The sequence below is a fragment of the Homo sapiens genome, chromosome 1, assembly GCF_000001405.40.
Source record: "Homo sapiens chromosome 1, GRCh38.p14 Primary Assembly".
NCBI classification, from domain to species: Eukaryota; Metazoa; Chordata; class Mammalia; order Primates; family Hominidae; genus Homo; species Homo sapiens.
The window spans coordinates 151,101,170-151,129,022 of NC_000001.11; the positions used below are offsets into that span (position 1 = coordinate 151,101,170).

Below are 27,853 nucleotides of genomic sequence, written 5' to 3' on the forward strand. Positions count from 1 at the left end.
TTGGGCCTGGGAGGCAGAGGCTGGAGTAAGCCAAGATTGTACCACTGCACTGCAGCCTGGGCGATAATGCCAGAGTTTGTCTTGAAAAAATAAATTAAGAGTACATTTAAAAATAAAATATATTGCTTAGTGTGCTGGCTCACGCCTATAATCCCAGCACTTTGGGAGGCCGAGGTGGGCAGATCACTTGAGGTCAGGAGTTCGAGACCAGCCTGGCTAACATGGTGAAACCCCGTCTTACTAAAAATACAAAAATTAGCTGGGCATGGTGGTGCGCGCCTGTAGTCCCAGTTACTAGGGAGGCTGAGTCAGGAGAATGGCGTGAACCTGGGAGGCAGAAGTTGCAGTGAGCTGAGATCGCGCCACTGCACTCCAGTCTGGGCAACAAGAGCAAAACTCCGTCTCAAAAAAAAAAGAAAAAGAAAAAAGAAAAGAATACAGGAATAGCCAATAGAGGGTGCAGCAGCTACTTCTACTTCTATACTAACAAAGCTTAATGTCATGCCAGCTGACAAGAAATGTTTATAGGGTCCAGCCCCAGCATCACCAGGCAGGACAAAGAAGGGTAGATTCGGAACTGAGAGGCAATAAATTTGTAACTGGCATAATAGGTATCTCTGAAATTATAGTGAAAGAAATAGAGAAATATAATTCATTTTATAAAAGTAAGATTTATACAAAACTGTTGAGTAATACTTTTTTTCCCCAACAAGGAAATATCTACAGTTAGAGTAATACTTTTGGTTCATAAAGTTAGGCATGTCTGTTGCCAGATCTAGTGCGCTTCCCTCTTACAACTTAGCTATGAGAATAGCACACAGATATAAGAGAAGAAGGTTATGAACAAAGTCTTTTTAAAAGTACATCTTGGCTGGACACAGTGGCTCATGCCTATAATCCCAGCACTTTGGGAGGCCGAAGCAGGCAGATCACCTGAAGTCAGGAGTTCAAGACCAGCCTGGGCAACATGGCGAGACCTCGTCTCTACTAAAAGTATAAAAATTAGCTGGGCGTGGTGGTGCACACCTGTAATCCCAGCTACTCAGGAGGCTGAGATAGGAGAAGCGCTTGAATCCGGGAGGCGGAGGTTGCAATGAGCTGAGACCGTGCTACTGCACTCCAGCCTGGGAGACAGAGCGAGACTCCATCTCAAAAAGTAAATAAATAAAAAATAAAAGTACATCTTGACATAACTAAAGTATTTTTAACATTTAGCGTTTTTAGTGTTAATCTATTGTACTACCCTTTGACATTCAATATATGAAACTTTTTATTTATATATTTATTTATTGAGATGGAGTCTTTCTCTGTCACCCAAGCTGAAGTGCAGTGGTGCGATCTCGGCTTACTGCAATCTCCACTTCCTAAGTTCAAGCGATTCTCTTGCCTCAGCCTCCTGAGTAGCTGGGATTATAGGTGCCCACCACCAACCCAGCTAATTTTTGTATTTTTAGTAGAGACAGGGTTTCACCTTGTTGGCCAGGCTGGTCTCGAACTCCTGATCTCAGGTGATCCATCCGCCTCGGCCTCCCAAAGTGCGAGGATTACAGGCATGAGCCACAGCATCCGGCCATGAAACTTTAGGTTTTTAACTATTCTTGTACTAGAGGTGAATCCTATTCTTCACATCTATCTAGCTGATGAAAAAAGGTAGTATGATTGGGTAAAGCCCAGAAGGGGACTATTCCCTTATCACTGCTGAGCTTGGGGTGAGGTATGCATTTTACACTTACTGCCTGCTGCCAAGGAGAGCTCTGCCCAGTCAGCTTAGGGAGTGGGTAGCACTCTTGGTCTGTTAGCTACTAATGCTCAGCACTGGCAGTGCCAAGAGAATGATTAAATGAGGGGAATGTAGTGGCCCTGTACAAAGTATACTTTTTTTTTTTTTTTTTTTTTTTGAGAAGGAGTCTCGCTCTGTCGCCCAGGCTGAAGTGCAATGGTGTGATCTCAGCTCACTGCAAGCTCTGGCTCCCGGGTTCATGCCATTCTTCTGCCTCAGCCTCCCAAGTGGCTGGGACTACAGGCGCCCACCACCACGCCCAGCTAATTTTTTGTATTTTTAGTAGAGACGGGGTTTCACCATGTTAGCCAGGATGGTCTTGAACTCCTGACCTCGTGATCCACCCGCCTCGGCCTCCCAAAGTGCTGGGATTACAGGCAGGAATGGCGCCCGGCCCTCCAAGTATATTAATTTAATCCACTTTAAAGGAAAAACTTTTTAAACCTTAAAAGAATTTTAACACTGATATAATTGGCTTATATCAGTTTGAGTTAGAGAACAAGATTGAGGACATTAGAAGGAAAAGCTGAGGTTTTGATTTAATAAGCTGTTTTTAATTTGCCTCAATTTTTTCTCTACATTGGACCTCATTTGTCTTTCTTACTGAAATAGGTGACCCCCATGCCTCAACAGTACAGTTTTCAAATTCTACCACCTCAGTGCTGGCTACCCTTGCAGCTCTTGCTGAGGCATCAGTCCCCCTCTCCAACTCACACAGAGCCACAGGTAGGTAAGGGATATGCTGCTGGGTGAATCACCACTTTTTCTTTTGTTTTTAAGTCTCCAGCAGATTTAATTTGCATGAAATATTATTAAAGAATTGCATTTAATTAGAGGCAGCTAAGGAAAAGGGATGTGGCATCATTGAACATCAGAAAGAAAAATTGCTAGGTGGTATAATCAGACAGCTGAATAATATCAGAGAATGACTGAATTATTCCTTTGTGTGTTTACAATTTGAAGTTTGTTCTCCCTGACTCTAGTTACTTCAGATTGAAATGTCTATTCTCATATTAGCAGATTTTTTTGGAGATACTCTATGTTATGTTTTGACTGATGCTATCATGGAATGATTCAAAATAGCAGCCCAGATATCTTATATTAAAGTATCAAAATACATGGGACTGGTACCTTTTTCGTTGTCATATCCTTTGTACTTCATGGCTTGCTTTTATTTTCACTGGAGATGTTATTTTGGCATTTCCAAAGGAGTTGAGCAAATATAGGCTATGTATTGCCTTTCTGATATTTAAAACAAAAAAGTTTTCAAGTCATTTAGCCAGAGCTAGTGGTCTGTGGGGGGAAGACTTAAGGCTTCATATAGGCAGGGGCATATAGTCATAGTTAGGGCTCAGTAGACATTTAGAAATCTGTCTGGAACCCTCTGGCCATCTGCTCCATCATATATGAAAGCAGAATGTTCTGATTTCTTTCTGCCATGACATTTGGGTGGTAAGAACATTCTTCCAATTCCAATCCTATTTTTCTGAATGGGTGTAATCATAAAGATCTCTACTCAGATGTATATGAGGGAACAACATAGCAAAGGGAAAAGCAGTGTATTAAACTTGTCCTTGCTATTCTTTTGCTTTGCTCTTTGATCTTGGATAAATCACTTCTCCAGGTTCTAGTTTTCTCATCTTTGGCATGATGGTTGGATTAGGTTATCTATCCAGGACCTTTCAGCTTTAATATTTAACTGTTCTTTGTTTCTAAGAGGTGTGAATCCTTTATTTCCATTGAACTACCTAGATGTGTTGCATATGGATGGTTGATACCCCACTTATTACTGCAAAGTTCTATCTGTGACTCTTTCTTTCTTTCTCTCTTTCTTTCTTTCTTTCTTTCTTTCTTTTCTTTCTTTCCTTTCTTTCTTTCTTTCTCTTCTCTCTCTTTCTTTCTTTCTTTCTCCTTCCCTCCCTCCCTCTCTCTCTCTCTCTTTCTCTCTTTCTCTCTTTCTTTCTTTCCTTCTTGAGACAGAGTCTCACTCTGTCACCCAGGCTGGGATGCAGTGGCATGATCTCAGCTTACTGCAATCTCCACCTCTGGGGTTCAAGCACAATTCTCCTGCCTCAGCCTCCCAAGTAGCTGGGATTACAGGCGCCCACCACCATGCCCAGCTAAATTTTGTATTTTTAGTAGAGATGAGGTTTTGCCATGTTGGCCAGGCTGGTCTCAAACTACTGACCTCAGTGATCCGCCCACCTCGGCCTTCCAAAGTGCTGGGATTACAGGTGTGAGCCACCGCGCCTGGCCCTGTGACACTTTAGATAGAGACATTCCATAGTGGTAGGAATTATTTCCTCTAATAGTGCTTAGTTTATTGGGATATTGACTAATCAAACTGAAAATCTCGATTCAACATAATACACATAACACTCATAGAATGGTACCTGGCACATAAGCGTTGGCTATTTTATATATATATGTGTGTATATATATGTATATATCAAATGTATATCAAATATATATACAAATATATATATCAAATATATATACAAATGTATATATATTTGATATACATTTAATATAAACATATATGTATATATATATATGTTTGGGGTTTCTTTTGATACAGACAGGATCTTATTCTGTTATTCTGTCACCCAGGCTGGAGTGCAGTGGCACAATCAGAGCTCACTGCAGCTTCAACTTCTGGGCTCAAGTGATCCTCCCACATCAGCCTCCTGAGTAGCTAGGACTAAAGGTGCATGCCACCACGCTCAATTAATTTTTCAAATTTGGGGGGATGGTCTCACTGCTCAGTCTGGTCTTCAACTCCCAGCCTCAAGCAGTCCTCCTGCCGTGGCCTCCCAAAGTGCTGGGATTATGGGCGTGAGCCACCATACCCAGCCAGCTATTATTCTTGATTTATCAGAGGAAAAAAGCCATCTAACATTTTTGTCTATCAAACTTCAATATTTTGACTACTTCACATATTATTCTGTGAATTCACTATTAAATATCCCTGTTTTCTTATAGAAATGATCTACTGTAATTTATGGTTATTTTAGATTTTTTTTTTTTTTGAGATGGAATCTCGCTCTTGTCACCCAGGCTGGAGTGCAATGGCGTGATCTTTGCTCACTGCAACCTCCGCCTCCCAGGTTCAAGCAATTCCCCTGCCTCAGCCTTCCAAGTAGCTGGGATTACAGGCGCCCACCAACACGCCCAGCTAATTTTTGTATTTTTAGTAGAGATGGGGTTTCACCATGTTGGCCAGGCTGGTCTCGAACCCCTGACCTCAGGTGATCTGCCCACCTCGGCCTCCCAAAGTGCTGGGATTACAGGCGTGAGCCACCGTGCCCAGCCATTTTAGACTTTCAAGATACTTTCTGAAAAAAAAAGGGTTCCAATATCAAATATGTTGGGGAAACAGCATATCTGGTTTTTTTGTTTGTTTTTTGAGACAGAGTCTCGCTCTGTCGCTCAGGCTGGAGTGCAGTGGCTCCATCTCGACTCACTGCAACCTCTGCCTCCCAGGCTCAAGCGATTCTCGTGCCTCAGCCTCCAAAGTAGCTGGAACTACAGGCACGTGCCACCATGCCTGACTAATTTTTGTACTTTTAGTAGAGACAGTGTTTTGCCATGTTGGCCAGGCTGGTCTCTAACTCCTGGCCTCAAGTGATTCGCCCATCTTGGCCTCCCAAAGTGCTGAGATTACAGGCGTGAGCCACTGTGCCCAGCCGAAACAGAGTATCTTATACTCTGTTGGAGAATCACACCCTGTTGGAAAATCACAATGTTTATTAGCCTATTGAAGTCTCTGATACTCCTACAAAACAAAAAAGTTTAAGCATGTTTAAACCAGAATTTTGAAAACGTATTTATACATAGAATCCATCTTTAGTGAAAGTTATTAATACCTCAGTGAACACATTTTACAAAATACTGTTCTAATGCATTCTGTTTTCTTTTCTCCTCTGACTTAGCATTGTTCACAAAACCTTTTGCGAACTGTTGAATCTCACTTTTTTTTTTCAAATGTTCCTCTCCCTGAATGTTGTCAGGTTCAAGGAGGTTGAAATTGCTATACTCCTATGTTTTTAAAAAGCTGAAATTTTAAATTTGCTTTTGTCATCTCTAGCCAATACAGAGGAAATTATAGAAGGAAATTCCGTTGACTCATCAATCCAGCAAGTAATGGGGAGTGGAGGCCAGAGGGTCATCACCATAGTGACTGATGGAGTCCCTCTGGGTAATATCCAAACTTCAATCCCTACTGGAGGCATTGGCCAGCCATTTATTGTAACTGTGCAAGATGGACAGCAAGGTGAGTTATCTCTTGTAGACAATTGTTTATTAAAAGATATTTTAGATACTCCATACTCACCTAAAAATGAGGCATTAAGACAAATAGTGGAAGTGGGAGATTGCCAGATGCAAGTTGGGGCAAAGAAGCTCTGAAAAAGAAAAAGAAACGGAACCAGACTGGCAAAAGCTAATTGCCTAATATGTATAAAATCTGTAGTAAAAACCAGTTGATCTGGTGGAAAAAATAACAAATAATATGAACCAATAGTTCACAGAAAAAAAATGTACTGATGGCTCTTTTTTTTTTTTTTTCTTCAGAAGGGATTCTCACTCTCTCACCCAGGCTGGAGTGCAGTGGTGCAATCTCAGCTCACTGCAGGCTCCGCCTCCTGGGTTCACGCACCCGGGTTCACCGCGCCCGGCCCTGATGGCTCTTAAAAATATGAAAATAGCTGGGTGAGGCGGCTCACGGCTGTAATCCCAGCACTTTGGGAGGCTGACGCAGGAGGATCACTTGAGAGCAGGAGTTCAAGACCAGCCTGGCCAAAATAGCAAAACCCCATCTCTACTAAAAATACAAAAATTAGCCAGGCATGGTGGCGCACGCCTATAGTCCCAGCTACTCAGGAGGCTGAAGTGGAGGATCACTTGAGCCCAGGAGGTTGAGGCTGTACTGAGCCGTGATTGTGCTACTGCACACCAGCCTGGATGACAGAGTGAGACTCTGTCTTTAAAAAAAAAAAGGAAAGAAAGAAAAAGAAAATATTTTCGACCTACTTCATTCATAACGAGAAGTGCAAATACTGTACTGACATACCATTATAACACTATGTTGTTAAAGGTATAGGGAAACAAGCACTCTTATAAATCACTTGTGAGAGTGCACATTAATGGATCCTCTAAAAAGGATATTGGTAATATCTGTAGGTATTAAAGATGTACATAAAGATGTACCTTTGGGTTTTTTTGTTTGCTTGTTTGTTTGAGATGGAGTTCCTCTTTGTTGCCCAGGCTGGAGCGCAGTGGCAGGATCTTGGCTCACTGCAACCTCCAGCTCCCTGGTTCAAGTAATTCTTGTGCCTCAGCCTCCTGAGTAGCTGGGACTATAGGCGCACACCAACACGCCCAGTTAATTTTTGTGTATTTTTAGTAGAGACAGGGTTTTACCATGTTAGCCAGGCTGGTCTTGAACTCCAGACCTCAAGTGATCCTCCCGCCTAAGCCTCCCAGAGTGCTGGGATTATAGGTATGAGTCATCACACCCAGTGATGTTGTGTACCTTTTGGTTAAACAGTTCTTTTTTCTTTTTTGTGTGTGTAACTGGGTCTTGTTCTGTCACCCAGGCTTGTGTGCGGTGGTGCAATCATGGGTCACTGCAGCCTCGACCTCCTGGGCTCAAGCTATCCTCCCGCCTCAGCCACCTGAGAAGCTGGGGCTACAGTTCCACGCCACCATGCCCAGCTATATTCAGACTGAGGCTATACATTAGTATACTGAGGCATTACATTAGTTGCTTCCAGGGAGGGCAATTGGGTACTAAGGATGAGTGGGAGGCTTTTCAATGTATATGCTTTTATAGTCTTGATGTTTTTAATCATTTAATGTATCAGTTATTCAAAAAAGACATAGTTAAAATTTTTTGAAAAGAGGAAGCCCATCATTACAACTCCATGCCTTAAAAATACTGGAGGTTGGCCAGGCACAATGGCTTACATATGTAATCCTGTAATCCTAGCACTTTGGGAGACCAAGGCAGGAGGATTGCTTGAGACCAAGAGTTCCAAATCAGCTGGGGCAACATAGCAAGACCCCCTCATCTCTACGCAATTTTTTTAAAAAATAGCCTGGTTGATGGCACGTGCTTATAGTCCCAACTACTCAGGAGGTTTTGGCAGGAGGATCAGTTGAGCCCAGGAGCTCAAGGTCGCAGTATGCTACCATAATCATGCCACTGCACTCCAGCCTGGGCAACAGAGCAAAACATTGTCTCTAAAAAATAAAAATGTATATTGGAGGTTGAAACGAAGGGTACTGGTATAATTTCCTTTCTTAATGTCACTAAAATTTTGACTTGGCTTAAATGATTGTGGGGATTTATATATATATATATATATACACACAAATATATATATATACACAAATATATATATATATATATATATTTTTTTTTTTGAGTCAGAATCTTGCTCTGTCACTCCAGGCTGGAGTGCAGTGGCACAATCTCGGCTCACTGCAACCTCCACCTCCTGGGTTCAAGCGATTCTCCTGCCTCAGCCTCCTGAGTAGCTGGGATTACAGGTGTGTGCCACCACGCCCGGCTAATTTTTTTGTATTTTTAGTAGAGACGGGGTTTCACTATGTTGGTCAGCCTGGTCTCGAACTCCTGACCTCGTGATCCACCCTCCTCGGCCTCCCAAAGTGCTGGAATTACAAGCGTGAGCCACCACACCCGGCCTATAGTTTTTTTTTGTTTGTTTTGTTTTTGTTTTTGAGATAGGATCTCCCTTTGTTGCCCAGGCTAGAATGCAGTGGCATGATTATGGCGCACTGCAGCCTCGACTTCCCAAGCAACCTTCTCACCTCAGCCTCCCAAGTAGCTGGGACTACAGGCATGCACCACCACACCTGGCTAATTTTTTTATTTTTTTAATTTTAGACAGGGACACAGTCTGTCACCCAGGCTGGAGTGCAGTGGCGTGATCTCGGCACACTGCAGTCTCCGCCTTCCGGGTTCAAGTGATTCTCCTGCCTCAGCCACCGGAGTAGATGGGATTACAATCATGTGCCACCATGCCCAGCTAATTTTTTTTTTTTTTTTTTTTTTTTTTTTTTTTTTTTTGCAGAGACAGGGTTTCGCCATGTTGGCCAGGCTGGTCACTAGCTCCTGAACTCAAGTGATCTGCCTGCCTTGGCCTCCCAAAGTGCTGGGATTACAGGTGTGAGTCACGACCCCTGGTCTTTTTTTATTTTTTGTACAGACTGGGTCTTACTATGTTGCCCGTGTTGGGATTTATAATTTTTTAATTATTTCAACTGATGGATCAGAAAGTATGGGAAGATAAGAATTAAACTTATTATAATCCAAACTTTGGTATCATAAATTCTAATTTATGCATTGCTGATATTTTTGTGAACATAGTTATCATTTTAAGTTTTTAGGGCTCATTGGGTAGGTGAGAGACTCTGCTTATAATGGAAATAAATAAATGAAAACTGAGTTGTTTTGGAGAAAAAGAATAGAATTGAGGTTTTACCTAAATAAACTATACTACTTTTTTATTTTTATTTTTTAAATTTATGTATTTATTTATTTAGAGGTGCAATCTCAGCTCCCTGCAACCTCAACCTCCTAGGCTCAAGCAGTCCTCCCACCTCAAGTCCCAAGTAGCTAGGACCACAGGTGCAAGCCACCACACCCAGCTAATTTTTTACTTTTTCGTAGAGACAAGGTCTTCCTATGTTACCCAGCCTGGCCTCAAACTCCTGGGCTCAAGCAGTCCTTCTACCTTGGCTTCCTAAAGTTCTAGGATTACAGGCATGAGCCACTGTGCTCAGCCTATACTACTTTTTACAAATATGTTTAAGGCCCAAAGAAGGAAAACAGATTTCATGAGTTATCTGCAGAAAAATTTAAATCCCAGACTAAACTTCCATTTCTACTCAACATATATCTAAGCTGCTTTCCACTGACATCAGTTGATGAGTTTATAAAGAAATACAAACCAATTTTTAAATCTGCCAAACCCAATGATTATGTAAATCTTCTGTTTTTTTGTTTTTGTTTTTAAATTTTTGTCCAGACATGGTAGCTCACACCTGTAATCCCAGCACTTTGGGAGGCTGAGGCGGGAGGAGCGCTTGAGGTCGGGATTTCAAGACCAGCTTGCCAACACGGTGAAACCCCATGTCTACTGAAAAAATACAAATATTAGCCAGATGTGGTGGCCCCAGCCTGGAGTGCAGTGGCACGATCATGACTTACGGCAGTCTTGATATTCAGGACCCAAGTGATCCTCCTGCTACAGCTCCCGAAATTTTTTTTTTCTTTTTTTTTTTTTGAGACGGAGTCTTGCTCTGTCACCCAGGCTAGAGTGCAGTGGCGCAATCTCGGCTCACTGCAACCTCCACCTCCTGGGTTCAAGCAATTCTCCAACCTCAGCCTCCTGAGTAGCTGGGATTACAAGGCGCCCACCACCGCCCCCCACTAATTTTTTTTTTCTTTTTTTTCTTTTTTTTTGAGACAGAGTCTCGCTCTGTCACCCAGGCTGGAGTGCAGTGGCGTGATCTCGGCTCACCGCAAGCTCCACCTCCCGGGTTGACGCCATTCTCCTGCCTCAGCCTCCTGAGTAGCTGGGACTACAGGCGCCTGCCACCACGCCCGGCTAATTTTTTTTGTATTTTTAGTAGAGATGGGGTTTCACTGTGGTCTCGATCTCCTGACCTCGTGATCCACCCGCCTCGGCCTCCCAAAGTGCTGGGATTACAGGTGTGAGCCACCGCGCCCGGCCTAATTTTTGTATTTTTAGTAGAGACAGGATTTCACCATGGTCTCGAACTCCTGACCTTGTGACCCACCTGCCTCGGCCTCCCAAAGTGCTGGGATTACAGGCATGAGCCACTGTGCCCGGCCTTTAATTTTCATATATGAAGAGCTAACATGGTTTTTAATTGGGTGCATGCCTTGGATAATCCATTCAAGAGAGATCACTTAGTCCAATTTAATGAAACCTATATCCTGTGGCTGGGCGCAGTGGCTCACACCTGTAATCCCAGCACTTTGGGAGGCCGAGGCGGGCGGATCACGAGGTCAGGAGATCGAGACCATCCTGGCTAACATGGTGAAACCCTGACTCTACTAAAAATACCAAAAATTAGCTGGGCGTGGTGGTGGGCGCCCGTAGTCCCAGCTACTCGGGAGGCTGAGGCAGGAGAATGGCATGAACCCGGGAGGTGGAGGTTGCAGTGAGCCGAAATCACGCCACTGCACTCCAGCCTGGGCGACAGAGCGAGACTCCATCTCAAAAAAAAAAAAAAAAAAAAAAAACCTATATCCTTCATGTACTGATGGAAAGGCTGACGGTATATATTGAGGCCATATTTCCGGATCAGACTGTGCTGATTTTTTCTTTTTGTTGTTGTTTTTGTTTTTGTTTTTTGAGATAGAGTCTCACTCTGTCGCCCAGGCTGGAGTGCAATGGTGTGGTCTCAGCTCACTGCAACCTCTGCCTCCCGGATTCAAGCGATTCTCCTGCCTCAGCCTCCTGAGTAGCTAGAATTATAGGCGTTTCCCACCATGCCCGGCTAATTTTTTGTATTTTTAGTAGAGACAGGGTTTCACCATGTTGGTCAGGCGGGTCTTGAACTCCTGACCTCATGATCTGCCGGCCTCGGCCTCCCAAAGCACTGGCATTACAGGTGTGAGCCACCGCACCTGGCCGACTATGCTGGTTTGAGCAGACATGACAAGAGCAAGAACCCTGGCCAAATTTTTGTGGGTGGCTCCAGTAGAGCTGCTGGTAACCCATCTTGCTCTCAAGAGTGCAACGAGGTAAAAGGAAGGAGCTCCCGAATTTTTTTTTTCTTTTTGAGACAGAGTCTCGTTCTATCACCAGGCTAGAGTGCAGTGGCATGGTCTCGGCTCACTGCAATCTCTGCCTCCCAGGTTCAAGTGATTCCCCTGCCTCAGCCTCCTGAGTAGCTGGGACTACAGGTGTGCACCACCACGCCTGGCTAATTTTTTTTTTTTTTGTATTTTAGTAGAGACAGGGTTTCACCATGTTGGCCAGGATGGTCTTGATCTCTTGACCTAGTGATGTGCCCACCTCAGCCCCTAAAGTGTTGGGATTATAAGCATGAGCTACTGCGCCTAGCCCCTCAATTTTTTTTTTTAATAGAAATGAGGTCTTGCTAAGCTTCCCAGGCTGGTCTCAGACTCCTAGACTCAAGCTTTCCTCCCACTTTGGCCTCCCAAAATGCTGTGATTGGCCGGGTGCGGTGGCTCACACCTGTAATCCCAGCACTTTGGGAGGCCGAGGTGGACAGATCATGAGGTCAGGAGATCGAGACCATCCTGGCTAACGCGGTGAAACCCTGTCTCTACTAAAAATACAAAAAAATTAGCCAGGCCTGGTGGCGTGCACCTGTAGTCCCTGCTACTCCGGAGGCTGAGTCAGGAGAATGGGGTGAACCCCGGAGGCGGAGCTTGCAGTGAGCAGAGATCGTGCCACTGCACTCCAACCTGGGCAACAGAGGGAGACTCCAACTGCAAAAAAAAAAAAAAAAAAAATGCTGTGATTACAGGCATGAGCTACCGTGTCTGGCCAAATCTTCTGTTTTAAAATAATCATAATATATCCTAAAACGTAAATATAATTTTTAACTTTTTATTTTTAGATCATTAAAGATTCAGTACAGTTCTAAGAAATAATACAGAGAAATCTATTGCTGGGATTACAGGCACATGCCACCATGCCCACCTAATTTTTTGTATTTTTGGTAGAGACAGGGTTTTGCCATGTTGGCCAAGCTGGTCTCGAACTCCTGACCTCAGGTGATCCGCCCACCTTGGCCTCCCAAAGTGCTGGGATTACAGGCATGAGCCACCGTGCCCATCCTCTACTTTGTCATTTCAATAATGTTATATAAGTGGAATCATACAGTATACATGATTTTGAGATTGGCTTTTTTCCTTTCAGCATAATTCCCTTGATACCCATCCAAGTTGTTGTTTGAATCAATATTTCATTCCTTCTTATTGCTGAGATTATTCCATGATATGGATGTACCACAGTTTGTTTAACCATTTACCCAGTGAAGGACATTTAAGCTGCTTCCAGTTTCAGCTATCTAAAAATAAAACTGGCTGGGCACAGTGGCTCATGCCTATAATCCCAGCACTTTGGGAGGACTACGCCGGCAGATAGCTTAAGCCCAGGAGTTTGAAATCAGCCTGGACGATATGACGAAACCCATCTCTAAAAAAAAATACAAAAAAAAAAATATATTAGCCAGGCGTGCTTTTGTGTGCCTGTAGTCCCAGCTACTTGGGAGGGTCACTGGAGGCCAGGAGGTTGAGGCTGCAGTGAGACATAATTCTGCCACTGCACACCAACCTGGGTAACAGAGTGAGACTCTGTCTCATAATAAATAAATAAATAAATAAATAAAGCATTATGAACACCATAATTGTTTACAGGTTCTTATGGGAAATAAAAAAATGGGAAATAGGGCCGGGCTCAGTGGCTCACACACTTTGGGAGGCCGAGGTGGACGGATCACAAGGTCAAGAGATCGAGACCATCCTGGCCAATATGGTGAAACCACATCTCTACTAAAAATACAAAAATTATCTGGGTGTGGTGGCATATGCCTATAGTCCCAGATACTCGGGAGGCTGAGGCAGGAGAATCTCTTGAACCCAGGAGGTGGAGGTTGCAGTGAGCCGAGATTGTGCCACTGTACTCCACCTGGAGACAGAGCGAGACTCTGTCTCAAAAGAAAAGAAAAGAAAACAAATGAGAAATAGGCCAGGCATGGTGGCTCAAGCCTATAATCCCAGCACTTTGGGAGGCAAAGGTGGGTGAATCACCTGAGATCAGGAGTTTGAGACCAGCCTGCCCAACATGGCAAAACCCCATCTCTACTAAAAGTACAAAAATTAGTCAGGCGTGGTGGCAGGCACCTGTAATCCCAGCTACTCGGGAGGCTGAGGTAGGAGAATCACTTGAACCTGGGAGGTGGAGGTTGCAGTGAGCCAGCATCATTGCACTGCACTCCAATCCGGCCTGGGTGGAGCCAGACTCCGTCTCAAGAAAAAAACAAGTAGGAAATAAATTTTCTATTCTCTGGGATAAATGCCCGAGAGTACAATTGCTGGGTCATAAGGTAAGTGTGTGTTTTGTTTTGTTTTTTAAGAAACTGCCAAACTTGGGCGGATCACCTGAGGTCGGGAGTTTGAGACTAGCATGACCAACATGGAGAAACCCCATCTCTACTAAAAATACAAAATTAGCCGAGTGTGGTGGCACATGCCTGTAATCCCAGCTACTCAGGAGACTGAGGCAGGAGAATCGCTTGAACTGGGGGCAGAGGTTGCGGTGAGCCGAGATCGCGCCATTGCACTCCAGCCTGAATAATAAGAATGAAACTCCGTCTCAAAAGAAGGAAGGAAAGAAAGAAAGAAACTGGCAAACTATTTTCTTTTTTTTTTTTTTTTCAAATGGAGTCTCACTCTGTCACCCAAGCTGGAGTGCAGTGGCACTATCTCAGCTAACAGCAACCTCCGCATACCAGGTTCAAGTGATTGTCCTGCCTCAGCCTCCCGAGTAGCTGGGATTACAGGCAGGTGCCACCACACCCGGCTGATTTTTGTATTTTTTGTAGAGATGGGGTTTCACCATGTTGGCCAGGCTGGTCTCAAACTCCTGAGCTCAGGCAGTCTGCCTGCCTCGACCCCCCAAAGTGCTGGGATTACAGGGCATGAGCCACTGCGCCCATCCTGCCAAACTATTTTCTAGAGCGGCTGTACCATTTTACATTCCCACCAGCAATTTATGAATAATCCAGTATGTCTACATCCTCTCCAGCATTTGGTATCATCACTTTTTAAAAAACTTTTAGCCCGGCACAGTGGCTCACACTTGTAATCCCAGTACTTTGGGAGGCCAAGGCAGGTGGAATATCTGAGGTCAGGAGTTTGAGACCAGTCTGGCTAACATGGAGAAACCTCATCTCTATTAAAAATACAAAAATTAACTGTGTGTGATGGCATGCACCTGTAGTCCCAGCTACTCAGGAGGCTGAGGCAGGAGAATTGCTTGAACCCAGGAGGTGGGGGTTGCAGTGAGCTGAGATTGTGCCACTGCACTCCAGCCTAGGTTACAGAGTGAGACTTCTCGATAAAAAAAGGCCGGGTGTGGTAGCTCACGCCTGTAATCCCAGCACTTTGGGAGGCCAAGGCAGGTGGATCACGTGAGGTCGGGAGTTTGAGACCAGACTGACCAACACGGAGAAACCCTGTCTCTACTAAAAATACAGAATTAGCCGGGTGTAGTGGGGCATGCCTGTAATCCCAGCTATTTGGGAGGCTGAGGCAGGAGATCACTTGAACCTGGGAAGCGGAGGTTGCAGTTAGCCATTGCACTCCAGAGATCACGCCATTGCACTCCAGTCTGGGCAACGAGAGCAAAATTCCATCTCAAAAAAAAAAAAAAAACAACTTTTAGCCATTCTGACAGATGTGTAGTGTGTCATGTGTGTTGTGTGTGTGTTGACTCTTCTCTCACTTATCTATGAGAAGAGAATTAATTTAGGTACAGATAATGGCTATTGGCTTTTATTAGAGGTCTCAAAAATATATAAAGACTTCAGGCCTTCTTTTGACAGATTATTTCTGCAGTTTTTTTTGTTTGTTTGTTTGTTTTAAGACAGGGTCTCATTCTGTCACCCAGGCTGGAGTGCAGTCGCGAGTTCTTGGCTCACTACGGCCTCAACTTCCCAGGCTCAGGTGATCCTCCCACTTCAGCCTCCCAAGTAGCTGGAATTACAGGCATGCTCCACCATGCCTGGCTAATTTTTTGTATTTTTTTTGCGGAGACAGTGTTTGCCATGTTGCCCAAGCTGGTCTTGAACTCCTGGGCTCAAGTGATCCTCCCACCTTAGCCTCCCAACATGCTAGAATTATAGGTGTGAGCCACCTTGCCCTGCCATTTCTGGGCGGATTGATAAGCTAATTGGCCATAGGTGACCTAGAGTCAGACACCTTCATATAAGAGCTTCAGACTTGGGACTTACTTGCATGGCTTCCAAGCCTGCAAATCTATACCCTTCCTTTTTGAGCCATTCTCAGTGCTCTATTAATCCTTTTTGTTTCTCCCTGAAGGGCCATGCCTTACCTGTTGATTCGAAAATTCAAAGAGATATTAAAAATAATATATCAAGGAATATATTTTACTTTCTCTTTCTTTGCTTTTTTGTTGAGATGGGGTCTTGCTGTGTTGTCTAGGCTAGTCTTGAACTCCTGGATTCAAGAAGTCCTCCAGTCAGCTGCCTGAGTAGCTAGGACCACAGGCACACACCACTGTACCCAACCTAGAATATATTTTAGTTTATTTTCTAATTAAAAGCAAGCAAAACCTCTTTGTTTTATTATGCATTCATCACCTCCAATTGGTGTCCTTTGACTTGTAGTTCTAACTGTACCTGCTGGTAAGGTTGCAGAGGAGACTGTAATTAAAGAGGAAGAAGAAGAGAAGTTGCCACTAACAAAGAAACCAAGGATAGGAGAGAAGACAAACAGTGTGGAGGAAAGCAAGGTAATGTTTTTAGGAGTGATGAAAAGAATTTAAAGCCTTAATTATTAAGGCCTGAACCCTTCTTCATCTTTTCTTTTTTCTTTTTGAGACGGAGTCTTGCTGTGTTGCCCAGGCTGGAGTACAGTGGCATGATCTCAGCTCACTGCAACCTCCGCCTCCCGGGCTCAAGTGATTCTCATGCCTCAGCCTCCTGAGTAGCTGGGATTACAGGCACCTGCCACCATGCCTGGCTAATTTTTGTATTTTTAGTAGAGACAGGGTTTTGCCATGTTGGCCAAGTTGGTCTCGAACTCTTGACCTCAGATAATCTGCCTACCTCTGCCTCCCAAAGTGCTTGGATTATAGGTGTGAGGCACCGCTCCTGGCCTGTCTTTTTGTCTACTGTCTGGATAATTTATGATCAGGAATTTACCTGGTGGTGACATGGCTTACTTTTACAGGAAGGCAATGAAAGAGAGCTACTACAGCAACAACTCCAGGAGGCCAATCGAAGAGCCCAGGAATACCGACACCAGCTCCTAAAGAAAGAGCAGGAAGCAGAACAGTACCGTCTTAAGCTGGAGGCCATAGCCCGACAGCAGCCCAATGGAGTTGATTTCACCATGGTTGAAGAGGTGGCTGAGGTAGATGCTGTAGTAGTCACAGAGGGGGAGTTGGAAGAGAGAGAGACAAAAGTGACTGGGTCAGCAGGGACCACAGAGCCTCACACTAGAGTTTCCATGGCAACTGTTTCATCTTAATATGCAAGGGCCACAATTTGCACTGTGTTCATATTAATCCTCTTTTAAAAAAGGAAATATACAGAAGACAAACATTGTATAAAAACTAAGAGTGTCTTTAAGAAGAAAACTATAGCAGGGTACAATGCTTGGGCTCAGGAAGTTTCTCTGTGCAACTAGAAAATTCAAAGCCATATTTAGGGAACATTTTTTCTGAGGGGCCAAAAGAATAAAGGACCAAATTTCTTAGCTCATATCATTGCTTTAAACATAGAAGTAAAAGAATACTGCATGTTGTGGGTTGATTTTTTTTTTTTAAATAACTGACTTTCTCACAAAAGATTTTAAGATAACATTTCTAATATATATGCACCAATATATATGCCTTTAATAATTATACCATCAAGTGACCTGAAAATGCCCCTTAGATTTATGATGCGTATCTGTTGGAAAAACCAATTGGAAGGGAAGTTAGACAAGCTTTGGGGAAGAGAAAAGGAATATAGTCCATTTCCAAAGGAGCAGGAACTCCCAACCTTAAGTTAATTTCACTGAAGAGAATTTTCCCTTTTTTTTTTTTTTTTTGAGACACGGTCTGACTCTGTCACCCAGGCTAGAGTACAGTGGTGCAATCTTGGCTCACTGCAACCTCCGCCTCCAGGGCGCAGCCTCCTGAGTAGCTGGGAGGACAGGCATATGCCACCACATCACTGAGAAGAAATTTTTGATTGTCTGACAGATACTTATCCATTATGTGTCTATAGTTCAGATGCTTGTGTAAGAAACTGAAATAAGCTGCGTGTGGTGGCTCACACCTGTAATCCCAACACTTTGGGACGTTGAAATGGGAGAATTGCTTGAGTCCAGGAGTTTGAGATGCGCCTGGGCAACATAGAAACCTGTGTCTACAAAAAATTTAAAAATTAGCCAAGTATGGTGACAGGCACCTATGGTTCCAGCTACTCAGGAGGCTGAGGTGGGAGGATCGCTTGTGCCTTGGAGGTCAAAACTGCAGTGAGCCATGGTTGCACCACTGCTCTCCAGGCTTGAGTGACAGAGCAAGACTGTATCTCAAAGGAAAAAGGAAACTAGGCCAGGCGTGGTGGCTCACGCCTGTAATCCCAACACTTTGGGAGGCCGAGGCGGGCGGATCACGAGGTCAGATCAAGAACATCCTGGCTAACACGGTGAAACTCCATCTCTACTAAAAATACAAAAAATTGGCCGGGCGCAGCGGCTCACGCCTGTAATCCCAGCACTTTCGGAGGCAGAGGCAGGCGGATCACAAGGTCAAGAGATTAAGATCATCCTGGCCAACATGGTGACACCCCGTCTCTACTAAAAATACAAAAATTACCCAGGCATAGTGGCACACGCCTGTAGTCCCAGTTACTTGGGAGGCTGAGGCAGGAGAATTGCTTGAACCTGGGAGGTGGAGGTTGCAGTGAGCCAAGATCGTGCCACTGCACTCCAGCCTGGCGACACAGTGAGACTCTGTCTCAAAAAAACAAAACAAACAAACAAAAATACAAAAAATTAGCCGGGCGTGGTGGCACCTGCCTGTAATCCCAGCTACTTGGGAGGCTGAGGCAGGAGAATCGCTTGAACCCGGGAGGCGGAGGTTGCAGTGAGCTGAGATCGCACCATTACACTCCAGCCTGGGCAACAGAGCCAGACTCTGTCTCAAAAAAAAAAAAAAAGGAAATTGAAATAGAGTTTTTAAAAACTGAACTGGAAAGCCGAGGCGAGCGGATCACCTGAGGCCAGGAGTTCCAGACCAGCCTGACCAACATGGAGAAACCCTGTCTCTACTAAAAATACAAAATTAGGGCCAGACCCGGCAGCTCATGCCTGTAATCCCAGCACTTTGGGAGGCTGAGGTGGGTGGATCATGAGGTCAGGAGTTCAAGACCAGCCTGGCCGAGATGGTGAAACCCTACTAAAAATACAAAAATTCACCTGGCGAGGTGGCAGGCACCTGGAATCCCAGCTACTCGGGAGGCTGAGGCGGTAGAATCACTTGAACCCAGGTGACAGAGGTTGCAGTGATCCAAGATCATGCCACTGCACTCCAGCCTGGGCGATAGAGTGAGACTCTGTCTCAAACAAACAAAACAAAACAAAATTAGCTGGGTGTGGTGGCACATGCCTGTAATCCCAGCTACTCAGGAGGCTGAGGCAGGAGAATCGCTTGAACCCGGGAGGCGGCAGTTGCAATGAGCCGAGATGGCACCATTGCACTCCAACCTGGGCAACAAGAGTGAAACTCAATTAAAAAAAAAATAGAAAAGAAAGAAAACTTGTTTATGTGGGAGGAGTATATATAAAACCAAAATCCAGGCTGTGTTTCCACAGTGCTGGGAAGTGGCCAGAAAAAGGCTTATAGGGGCTATGAAACTCTGGTCTTGACATATAAACTTTGCTCTGACTGGATTTCATAAAATTACAGTGAGGAGGGTAGTCTCTTGTCAGAAAAACTTGTTTCCAAACATTTATGTAATGTCAAGCTCAGTCTCTCTTTTTTTTTTTTTTTTTTTTGAGACGGAGTCTTGCTCTTGTTGCCCAGGCTGGAGTGCAATGGTGTGATCTCAACTCACCGCAACTTCCACCTCCCGGTTTCAAGCTATTCTCCTGCCTCAGCCTCCCGAGTAGCTGGGATTACAGGCACGCGCCACCACGCCCGGCTAATTTTGTATATTCAGTAGAGACAGGGTTTCTCTATGTTGGTCAGGCTGGTCTGGAACTCCTGGCCTCAGGTGATCCACCCGCCTTGGCCTCCCAAAATGCTGAGATTACAGGCGTGAGCCACCCCGCGCACAGCCTAGACTCTAATTTTATAAAACTTTGTTGAATTTTCTAAGTGTCATTTAGGACATATTGTGCTTTTCTGTGGAGCTTATATCTTATCCTCTTATGTGCAACAAAAAGGGGGTCGGAGGTAAATGCTGATGATGTTGTTTAGTTTTATTTCCTTTTGATCTGGCATGAGTAAATTGCTCTGTTTCCTTAAGCTTGGGTCTGTTACAGAGCTTTGTGCCTTATAGGGTGCTCAGTGTGTGTTGACAAAGGGAATAAGAACTGTCAGTGCCATAAAGAACCAAAGATTCTGGCTACTTTGTCTTCTTCCTTTCTCTCCCACTATGCCTACACTTCCTCTGCCCAGACACTTTTGGAAAGTGTTTAACTGCTGGGTTTTCTTTTTCTTTTTCTTTTTTTTTTTGAGACGGAGTTTCACTCTTGTTGCCCAGGCTGGAGTGCAATGGCGTGATCTTGGCTCACCGCAACCTCTACCTCCTGGGTTCAAGTGATTCTCCTGCCTCAGCCTCCCGAGTAGCTGGGACTACAGGCATGCGCCACAATGCCTGGCTAATTTTGTATTTTTAGTAGAGATGGGGTTTCTCCATGTTAGTCGGGCTGGTCTTGAACTCCTGACCTCAGGTGATCCACCTGTCTCGACCTCCCAAAGTGCTGGGATTATAGGCGTGAGCCACTGCGCCTGACCACCTACCTGCTGGGTTTTCTTTGTATGTCAGCATGGAGTTTTTCCCAAAGAAAGGGAATATGGATGGAGAGAGAGAGGTTATGAACAGGTTATGTTACAGAGGTTATTGCCTTTGAAACTGGGCCCTCATCATTCTAGACTTGCTTGCTTTGTTATAAATTAGAAGAAACCAGAGGGAGATGTGCCAAGTAAACATTCGAATGACTGTTTAGAATATGGTTTTCTTAATTAGCAGTCATGGGGAAAACATGCATTTTTAATTTGGAAAAAACCTGACAGTTAACATGGTTCTGTTTACCTTGATTAGTGAAGTAATTTGCTGCAGTGTTACAGAGGAGCAGAATCACTTGGGTCTCAAAATAGACTGAAAATTTAACTCCCCAAACCAAATTTAACAAACAGAATTGGTTATTAGAGATTTATAGGCAAAAATATCAGTTTGGAAATTAACCTTGGCTACTGGCCACCTTAGCTAGGTTTTCTCCACAGATCTGTTTTCTCCACAGATCTGAGTACTTAACACTTCCCAGATGATTGGAGAATATTCTGGGCTGTTGGGGATGACAGGAAAATGTGAGGGGGAGTAGCCTAGGTAAGGGTGATGATGAAATTGTTCTATCTGCTGTCAAATAATCTTTTCCTGTTTGCAATGTTTTTATTTTTTCTGAGTCCCTTTGGGAACCAGGTGCTAACAAGAAGCTGTTATGTGTGGGATTTCGGAGCCTTACTTTAACGATAGAGGAACCAAGTATCATTTTAGATATCTTTTATTTATGTTCTCGGTGCATATGTTGACTTTAATCCCTCTTCCCCCACACCTCGCCCATTAAGGGGAAGGAGGTTAACTCTGCAGATGATATTCAGGCCCAACCAGCTCACTCTCTGGGGTGGCTACTGACTAAAGGCAGAGAATGTCCATCCAACATGCCCTTCTGACTATACAGTCACCACTTTTTTGGGGGAATTCTTTAGCAGATCTTATTGTTCTTTCTGCAGAAGCTATCATTCCTACCTCCCCAACCCCCAAAATCTCTAATACAGGCCAAGTCATTTTTTATGATGGGTCTCTGAGATAGGGCAGTTTGTTAGAGGAGAGGCTAGGGTAGAGAGGGAGAGAATGGAGGTATCTGAAAATAAGTAAGAAAAAGGCATTGATTTTTATTTACTCGGAACGGTCCTCTTGGCATCCCAGATAAGGGAAATAGGATTTGATCTCCAATTGTATTGCCATGGAGAGAATGGCAGGTGAGGATGCTTTGAAGTAGTTAGAAATTAAATATTGAATACATTAATGGCAATACCATTTCATGACTTTGCATATCTTTCTGGATTAGTCATGGAAGTTGGGGAAATATTGCTTAGATCTTCTGGGTTAGAGGATTCCAACTGTTTATTGGCAAGGTTGGATTATTAAGAATCAAATAGCAGACAAAAATGGCTGGGCACGGTGGCTCACGCCTGTAATCCCAGCACTTTGAGAGGCTGAGGTGGGTAGATCACTTGAGGTGAGGAGTTCGAGACCAGCCTGGCCGACATGGCAAAACCCTGTCTCTACCAAAATACAAAAATTAGTTGGGCATGATGGCATACGCCTGTAGTCCCAGCTACTCTGGAGGCTGAAACAGGAGAATTGCTTGAACCCAAAAGGTGGAGTTTACAGTGAGCTGAGATTGTGCCACTGCACTCCAGCCTGGGCAATAGAGCGAGACTCTGTCTCAAAAAAAAAAAAAAAAGAAGGAAAGAAAGAAAAAACAGACAAATGGATCAGAATTGGTGCTTGAGCAAGAGAAACTTCGAGCTTAGGATGGTTGTCTACTTTAAAATAAAGCTGCTGGCCGGGCACAGTGGCTCACGCCTGTAACCTCAGCACTTTGGGAGGCCAAGGCAGGTGGATCACGAGGTCAGGAGATTGAGACCATCCTGGCTAACACAGTGAAACCCTGGCCCTACTAAAAATACAAAAAATTAGCCGGGCGTGGTGGTGGGTGCCTGTAGTCCCAGCTACTCGGGAGGCTGAGGCAGGAGAATGACGTGAACCCAGGAGGCAGAGCTTGCAGTGAGCTGAGATCGCCCCACTGCAACAGATCGCCTGGGCAACAGAATGAGACTCGGTCTCAAAAAATAAAATAAAATAAAATAAAATAAAATAAGTAAAGCTGCTGGCCAGACATGGTGGCTCACGCCTGTAATCCCAGCACTTTGGGAGGCCGAGATGGGAGGATCACTTGAGGCCAGGCCAGCGTGGTGAAACTCAGTCTCTACTAAAAATACAAAAATTAGCCGGGGGTGGTGGCGCATCATCATACTGGTGAGAAAAAAAAAAAAAAAAAAGAGGCCGGGCGCGGTGGCTCACAAAAAAAAAAAAAAGAAAGAAAAAGGAAAAAAAGAAATATCAGTTTGAGAAATGATTTTTTTTTCTTTTTTCTTTTCTTTTTTTTTTTTTAAACAGAGTCTCTCTCTGTCACCCAGGCTGGAGCGCAGTGGCATGATCTTGGCTCATTGCAACCTCTGTCTCCCGGGTTCAAGCGATTCTTCTGCCTCAGCCTCTGAAGTAGCTGGGATTACAGGCACGCGCTAATTTTTGTATTTTTAGTACAGACGGGATTTCACCATATTGGCCAGGCTGGTCTCGAACTCCTGACCTCGTGATCCACCCTCCTTGGCCTCCCAAAGTGCTGGGATTACAGGTGTGAGCCACCACGCCCAGCCTCTTTTTTTTTTTTTTTTTCTCACCAGTATGATGATGACCATTTTAAGAAAGCTTGTGTGGCTCTCTCCTATCATTACAGACCTCCAGAGCTGGAAAATTTGATGCATTTACTGAACTCTTCCTGAAAGTTTAATATGGAGTGGGAATCAGTTTTTGTCCTAATTTATTAGAGAAGGCTTCCTCTTCTCTACTCCTTGTGCAAACCCATCTCTGGATAGCTAGAAAAGGAACTTCAGAATGGACTATATGTGATGACCACCTGTATGCACTCTAGGCTCTTATCTGTCTCTATTTTATGTGGTGACTATATCTCAGAAGTACTACCCCTTCTGAGTAGTACTATTATTTCCTATGCCAATTTTTTTTAAGTCTCTGATGCTGCCCTTTTTAAATTTTTGTCTTATTTTTTAGCCTCTTTAGTATTAGGGGGTGAGGTGACATTCCTAGACTCTACAGTAGCAGTTTGGCATGTTAGTGACAGGAAATTGTGATTCCCTATCTCCCCCTCCTCCTACCTTTTCTGCTTTTGTGATTCCATTGTTCCTATCTCATTGAGGCTTTCCCAGGCATTCGAATTTAGTTAGTAGGTCATTTCTAATCTCTGGGCCTTGTCTTTTCTCTCTCCGTTCCCCTCCTTCCCTACCACATATTTTTTGTTTATTCTGAGGTGGTTTGTTTCTGAAAGTTAATCTAGGTCACCTTCTATATCCTGTGCTTTCTAGTTGGCTTTAGACATCTTGTTCTAGCAACAATGATGGTAGCAGCTCTCTCCCTGACCTTGCCCCATGTGCTGTCCTTCTGTCAAGGCCATTTGTGTGTGTACTGCGGCAGGTGTGTGTGTGGGGGGATGCGCCCAGACTGTTCTCACAATGTCCTCAGTTTTTCAGGTTGTCTGACAGCTTTATGTACAGCGTATTTTTAGAAAAACTTAAATATACTTCTTTATTTAGGGTTTTATTCTGATGAGCAAGTTTGTGTGTATATGTGTGTATGAGCATTTGTATGTATATATACTTATACAGATCTATATTATATATACAGTTTTTGTACTATCATTTAAAATAAAAATGTTTCTCAATAAAATGTCAAAGCCGACCATTTCAGGGTGTCATTGAATTTGTTTTCATCTCCTGGGCAAAATTTGTATCTATTCTCTTTTTTTTTTTTTTTTTTGAGACGGAGTCTCGCTCTGTCGCCCAGGCTGGAGTGCAGTGGCGGGATCTCGGCTCACTGCAAGCTCCGCCTCCCGGGTTCACGCCATTCTCCTGCGTCAGCCTCCCAAGTAGCTGGGACTACAGGCGCCCGCCACTACGTCCGGCTAATTTTTTTGTATTTTTAGTAGAGACGGGGTTTCACCGTTTTAGCCGGGATGGTCTCGATCTCCTGACCTCGTGATCCGCCCGCCTCGGCCTCCCAAAGTGCTGGGATTACAGGCGTGAGCCACCGAGCCCGGCCAAATTTGTATCTATTCTCTAATGACAGGTGAACCACAGAGCTCATTTTCCCTGTCCAACTGAGCTAACTGAAGGGGGAGGGGTATAGATCTACTAACCCATGCATGGCCATTGCCTTTTCCTTATCCACCGCTCTCAGCCTGGTATTCTTGACAGGCAGAGCAAGTTGAGGTAAGAAATGAAATGAGAATGAGGAGAGCTTTTGACCAGCTTGTTAAATGTACATTTTCCTTCTTTCTCTCATTCCCCACTCCCTTCCCTAAAAGCAAACAACCAAGGGAGGAGAAAAGTAGCTGAAGAAAATGATTATGTGCCTTGTGTGGGAGTAAAGTCAATACTGAGACGTATGGGGAAAAACATCAGACTCAGGAGTGCTTGGAAAGAGTAGATTTACTTTGCCAGCTTCTCAGCTATTCTTGGTTAATAGGGTGCTTGCTGCTATCTTAGTCCAAAATCAGCACACATTTATATTTAAAAATAGGAGGATCAGTCTGATAGTAGCACAATCCCCATTGATAGCCGGGGTGAACAGACCAATTTGACTAGCAAGATGGGTATCCTATCTAGTGTATAGAGTTCTGAAAAGCTGTTTTGTTGGCAAGAAGGATACCTTTCTTTACAAAATTAGCTTTGAGCCTGTCCAAAGCTAAGGACATATAAGCATCTGTGTTCAGCGACTGGAATCTCAAGTAAGTTCTCAAAGTCAATATTTAGGAAATTGGACACCTACCATGTACTAGGGTACATGTAGATAATTTCTTTTTGGTAAATACATATAGTCAGCAAATGCTGTGCACATATTCAAGTAATAGAAAGTAATTCTGGCAGGTACTTTATTAATATATATAGTCTTGGCTGTGCTGACAGAAAAAAAAGCAGGAACTTGTGGAGCCTTAAGAACCAAAGAACTAAAAATCTTGTTGAATTAAATCCTGGTGAGAGAAATCATCAAGATGGGAAAGTTGGAGGGAACTAGAGAGATAGGAACCTAGAGTTCTCTGATGGGTGATACTCTTTTTTTTTTTTTTTTTTTTTTGAGACAGAGTCTCACACTGTTGCCCAGGCTGGAGTGCGGTGGCATGATCTTGGCTCACTGCAGCCTCTGCCTCCCAGGTTCAAGTGATTCTCCTGCCTCAGCTTCCCTATTAGCTGGGATTACAGGCATGCACCACTACACTCAGCTAATTTTTGTATTTTTAGTAGAGACGGGGTTTCACCATGTTGGCCAGGCTGGTCTTGAACTCCTGACCTCAGGTGATCCACCCGCACTGGCCTCCCAAAGTGCTGGGCTTACAGGTGTGAGCCACCGTGCCCGGCTGGGTGATAGTCTTAAGTAATGGGAAAAATTATGAACTAGGGCAACTTTCCTAAGACTTCCTTCCTCTGTAAAAAAGAACCCTCTACTCCAAGGAGATCAATAGGTAAAAAATACAGGTGAAGGCTGAAGTGGGAGCAACCCAGTGATAACTACACCTGTGTAAGGCTTGTGCAAGACATTTGATAGGTAATTGAGTAAGTTAAGACTATGGGAGACTTCTGAACAAAAGTGTGGGGTTGCAGTCTGCTCCTATAACCAGTCCTAAAGTTTAAGGGTAGTGCTGTAAAGGAAAGGAAAGTTTGGGAAAGGGCCCAAAATTATAAATAACAATAGCCACCATGTTTTAAGCTTTTGCTACATGTCTGGCAATGTGCTAGGTACTCTGCATATACATATAAATACCCATCTTGTAAGGTGAGTATTATCCTCATCATATAGTTGTAAAAATAGGTTGACTTTGCAGAGTCACACACTTGTAAAAATTGTCCTTTTTTTTTTTTCTTTTTAAAGACAGGGTCTCACTCTTGCCCAGGCTGGAGTGCAGTGGCATGATCTTGGCTCACTGCAGCCTCGACCTTCGACCTCCAGGTCTCAAGCAATCCTCCACCTCAGCCTACTGAGAAGCTGGGACTACAGGTGCACACCACCATGCCTGGCTAATTTTTGTATTTTTGGTAGAGACAGGGTTTCACCATGTTGCCCAGGCTGGTCTTGAACTCCTGAGCTCAAGGGATCCACCTGCCTTACCTTCCCAAACTGTTGGAATTATAGGCGTGAGCCATGGCACCCTGGCTAAAATTGTTCTTTCTAAAACTACAGTTTCTACATTGAGTTAATTAGTGTACTTTCCTCTGTGATTTCCCTTTTGTCAGAATGCTATTTTATTCACTAGCCTTGGGCAGCTTAATTCATCTCAGATTTGCATTTAAGAAACTGAGGGCCGGGTGCCGTGGCCCGTAATCCCAGCACTTTGGGAGGCCAAGGCCGGCGGATCACGAGGTCAGGAAATTGAGACCATCCTGGCTAACATGGTGAAAACCTGTCTCTACTAAAAACACAAAGATTAACTGGGTGTGGTGGCAGGCGCCTGTAGTCCCAGCTACTCAGGAGGCTGAGGCAGGAGGCGGAGCTTGCAGTGAGCCGCAGTTGCACCACTGCACTCCAGCCTGGGTGACAGAGTGAGACACTATCTCGGAAAAAAAAAAAAAAAAAAAAAAGCCAAACTCGGGCAGATCACCTGAGGTTGGGAGTTCGAGACCAGCCTGGCCAACATGGTGAAACCCCATCTCTACTGAAAATACAAAAATTAGCCGGGCATGGTGGCACATCCCTGTAATCCCAGCTACTCGGGAGGCTGAGGCAGGAGGCTTGAACCCAGGAGGCAGAGATTGCAGTGAGCTGAGAGAGCCGAGATTGCACCACTGCACTCCAGCCTGGGCGACAGAGCAAGACTCTGTCTCAAAAAAAAAAAAAAGAAACTGAGAAGAAAAATATGATCCAAGCAGCATTTCCTATAAGCTCCCCAAAGTAAATTTTGCTCCAAAACTAATTTGGGGGTATCTGCATAGAGTTTCTGGCCAGCAATACTTGAGCAAGAAGAGTAAAAAATAATCTCTCTTGTGGGGAATGAATAGGGTCTTCATCTCTAGGTATGCTGGATGTTTTCTTTCTTTCCTTCCAGATTACGCTCCTCTATTCTGTAGCCTGTTCTCTGTCCTGGGAGACTGACCTATATGAACATCAATGGGCTTCCTGTGCTTTGGCCTCCAGTTGGATTCAGCCAATAGGGAGCCCTGACAGGAG

At 44.2% G+C, this 27,853-nt stretch overlaps 1 protein-coding gene and 1 pseudogene across 9 annotated transcripts in view; one reads left to right on the forward strand and one right to left on the reverse strand.

Moving 5' to 3' along the window:
* The window catches only part of GABPB2 (GA binding protein transcription factor subunit beta 2), a 54,782-nt gene extending 30,409 nt beyond the window's left edge, over positions 1-24,373 (forward strand). For 4 of the 9 annotated variants that reach the window (NM_001323908.2, NM_001323910.2, NM_144618.3 and 1 more), the window contains 4 exons: positions 2,393-2,506; positions 5,868-6,053; positions 16,223-16,347; positions 16,788-24,373. In NM_001323908.2, coding sequence (NP_001310837.1) covers positions 2,393-2,506; positions 5,868-6,053; positions 16,223-16,347; positions 16,788-17,087 — 725 coding nt within the window. In that variant the 3' untranslated portion in view covers positions 17,088-24,373. The remainder of the gene's footprint in view (positions 1-2,392; positions 2,507-5,867; positions 6,054-16,222; positions 16,348-16,787) is intronic. The other 5 variants (NM_001323912.2, NM_001323907.2, NM_001323909.2 and 2 more) reach the window with 3 other exon arrangements.
* On the reverse strand, positions 10,666-11,156 carry RPS29P29 (ribosomal protein S29 pseudogene 29; annotated as a pseudogene).
* Positions 24,374-27,853: the final 3,480 nt, after the last annotated feature.